The sequence below is a fragment of the Homo sapiens genome, chromosome 4, assembly GCF_000001405.40.
Source record: "Homo sapiens chromosome 4, GRCh38.p14 Primary Assembly".
Classification (NCBI taxonomy): domain Eukaryota; kingdom Metazoa; phylum Chordata; class Mammalia; order Primates; family Hominidae; genus Homo; species Homo sapiens.
The window spans coordinates 114,086,126-114,089,062 of record NC_000004.12 but is presented as its reverse complement, the minus strand read 5'-3'; the positions used below and the strand labels follow the sequence as shown (position 1 = coordinate 114,089,062).

The following is a 2,937-nucleotide window of genomic DNA, read 5'->3' as shown; positions in this document are numbered from 1 at the left end:
TTTATTTCTCCATTGGCATAATTTTTCAAGGCTTTTTTTTTCCAGGATGATTATGGGAGCTGTAATTTTTTTCTCATTCCTCATATTCCTAAGACTTTCAATTGCCTTCACACATAAATAATAGCTTGGTCATCTTCTCATGTAATATATTTCCCTCAAAACTTTAGAGATATTTTTTCCCAAGGAACTGTGTTACAGTTTGATACTAATTAATTTTTATTATAAGACAATATTTTTATTGCTTGAGTTATGTAGATTTCTCTACACCCTTTATGTTTTATCATTTCAGACTGCCCACACACATTTGTGTCCTGCACATCTTCACTCTATTGTTGCTCTTTGGTCCCATTATTCCACATATCAGAAATTCTTCCCATTGAATCATGACTAAGTAGTTTGCAAAACATACACCACTTTCTTCAACAAGCCTTCTCCTATTGCTTTAGCATATTTAAAGTTTGAGCTTGAATCCTAGCTCTGCTGATTGTTGTCTGTGTGACTTTGGGCACATTGCTTAACCTCTCTATACTTCAGTGTACTCATATGTAAAATGGTATAATGCATACATTAAGGGACTACTTTAAAGAATAAATAACACAATGGAAGCAATTTTATATTTAATAATGTAAAGTGAACACAATGGCTGTCTTCTTGAAAGGGGTCATTGTCTGGTCATTGTTATTGCTAATGTTACCTATTGTAATAACAATGTCTAAGTATTAAATAGAGAATTAAGCAATTGTAACAGTCTTGTTTGTTTAATGAAATTTAACCTATTCATATTATCAAACTAATATTAATGTGGGATTTGGGCTAGATTGAAGTAATAGCTAAAATGCTTATTGCTATGTGATATATTGCTGTTTTGTTTTTTCAAATAGGATTATAACCATATGCCTAGTAATATACAGTGACAACATTTGAAGTGATGTGAACACGTATGCAGTGATGTAAACAGAATATTTCAGCATAAAGGGAAGGTGATAATTGCAAAGATGCCTCATTTTCCTGTTCATAAATCATTAGCAGAGAGGAATGCTTTGTGTTTCTACAATAAAGCACAACATGTCTACATTACTTTTTTTTCCTGGCAAAATTCCACCAGACAAATCTGTTTGCTATTCCAAAATGATATGGATATCTTCCCAGAATTGATTTCAGAGAACAGAATTGAGCATATTCTCAAGTTTTACAGGATAATTTTCTCCAGTTTGTCATGACCAGATTTAAAGGATACTGTTATAAAAGTCTGCAGGGAAAAAATTCTTCTCCAAGAAATCTCAGTTTAAAATTACCTCATCCAAAAGAAATCCCACTGCCATATGTTTGCTTGGCCTAGATTTCATTCAACAAGGTTTCCTCCTCATACATTCTTCAGGGAGAAACAAAATTAAGAGTAGTGTGGTTGCCAGCCATTAAATGCCTATGGCCTGTGTCAATTTTTAATCAGACAGATCCTGTAGTAACTTTAACAGATTCTTGCTTTATAGTTTTAAAATCATAGATAGAGCAATGTGATTAGAATTTTTAAATGCTAAGAATTATTAGTTCCTGCTTTTCTTTCTGTAAAAATATTGTCTTCTTTTTTTCTTTATGGAAATGCAAAGCTCCCTTCATGTTCACAATCCAAGTTTGTTTATTTAAAATGTATGTGCTGTCTTCCTTCTTGTTTTAATGTCACCCTTGATGATTTGTTTGCTTCTGATAACTTTATGAGGATTAGTTATTGTTGTGAAAATTGAAGCTATTTAATAACATAATATATGTGGAATCATTATTCTTGACCCACAGTGTACATTCAATGTTGAATGAACATTAAAAAGAGAGTGTGGGGAGAGAATATAAAACTGAAGTATTGGGCGAATGAATTGATGCAGAGTTACCATCTCTACCCGACACTAAAGTGATAGTGCAGAAATCAGTTGCTACAGTTAAAATAATAATTGTTAGAAGTATAATTACCATAAAATACTTGGTAAAAAAACTTTAAAAACTTGTACACTGTCAGTATTAAAGATTATATTTACGAAAGTCTGTGACTATTATTGCTGGACTGAAGTTTACAAATAATACCTCATATTCCAGGCCATAAATATGGTAAAATTTTCACCACAGAATCATCGAGCAGAAAATTTTGGTTGACAATGACTATCTACCATCTCTACACGATGTCCGTTCACCTGTTAAGAGTCAGGATTCATCTGGCATTAGGTTTCCCTTTTATTGTCAATAAGGCCACCAGCAACTTTATGGGAATGTTATTTTACATGCTCATAAAGACTTCCATCCTTTTCAAAAATTTCCTGCATCATGCCTCACCAGGATAATTTGCTCTTATAAAATTGAAATGTTGGTATTACTCTGGACTATGCCATAAACATTCTGAAGTTGCAGAAATAACTCTCATGCATAGTTTGTGGAGTGCTTTAAGGAAGTGTCCTGCATTTTTTGTCAAACCCTCCTGAATCCGTTGGTGTACAGGATACTTAATCTAATGGAGCCAGGTTCTATGTACACCACTCAATGCTCAGGTTTAAACACACAGTAAAATAATCTAGTAGTTTGTTAACTAGGAGAACACAAAATATGATGTATGTTTTTATTTTTAAAGAACCCAGGGATCAAAATTTTCCTTTATATTGCATTAATAATTATTTCTAAAAATAACCTAAAAGACAAATGCAGAGGCAAAATTTATTTAATTATCCATTAATATACCATACTATATTAATGCCAAAATATTCAATAATGTACCCAAAGATTCTCTTTGTCCTCTATTCTAAACATTCTTAGTTAAAAAGCATCTTTCCTGCTCTTTAATAAGGATTGAACACAGAGAAGCCAGTTATTGCCTGCTATTCTCAATGGAATTCTTTTTAATTGCATTTTGAAATTAACTACTAGTGAAAGGTGAAAATATATGCAGAGCCCTGGAGA

General features: G+C 32.3%; 1 annotated feature.

Annotated features, from left to right (window-relative positions):
- Window positions 297–977: an enhancer, noted in NCBI's record as "NANOG hESC enhancer chr4:115009242-115009922 (GRCh37/hg19 assembly coordinates)". NCBI's record gives its function as "activates a minimal SCP1, AML or CMV promoter by ChIP-STARR-seq in primed H9 embryonic stem cells {active_cell/tissue: H9 hESC(primed)}" and the evidence as "EXISTENCE:reporter gene assay evidence [ECO:0000049][PMID:30033119]".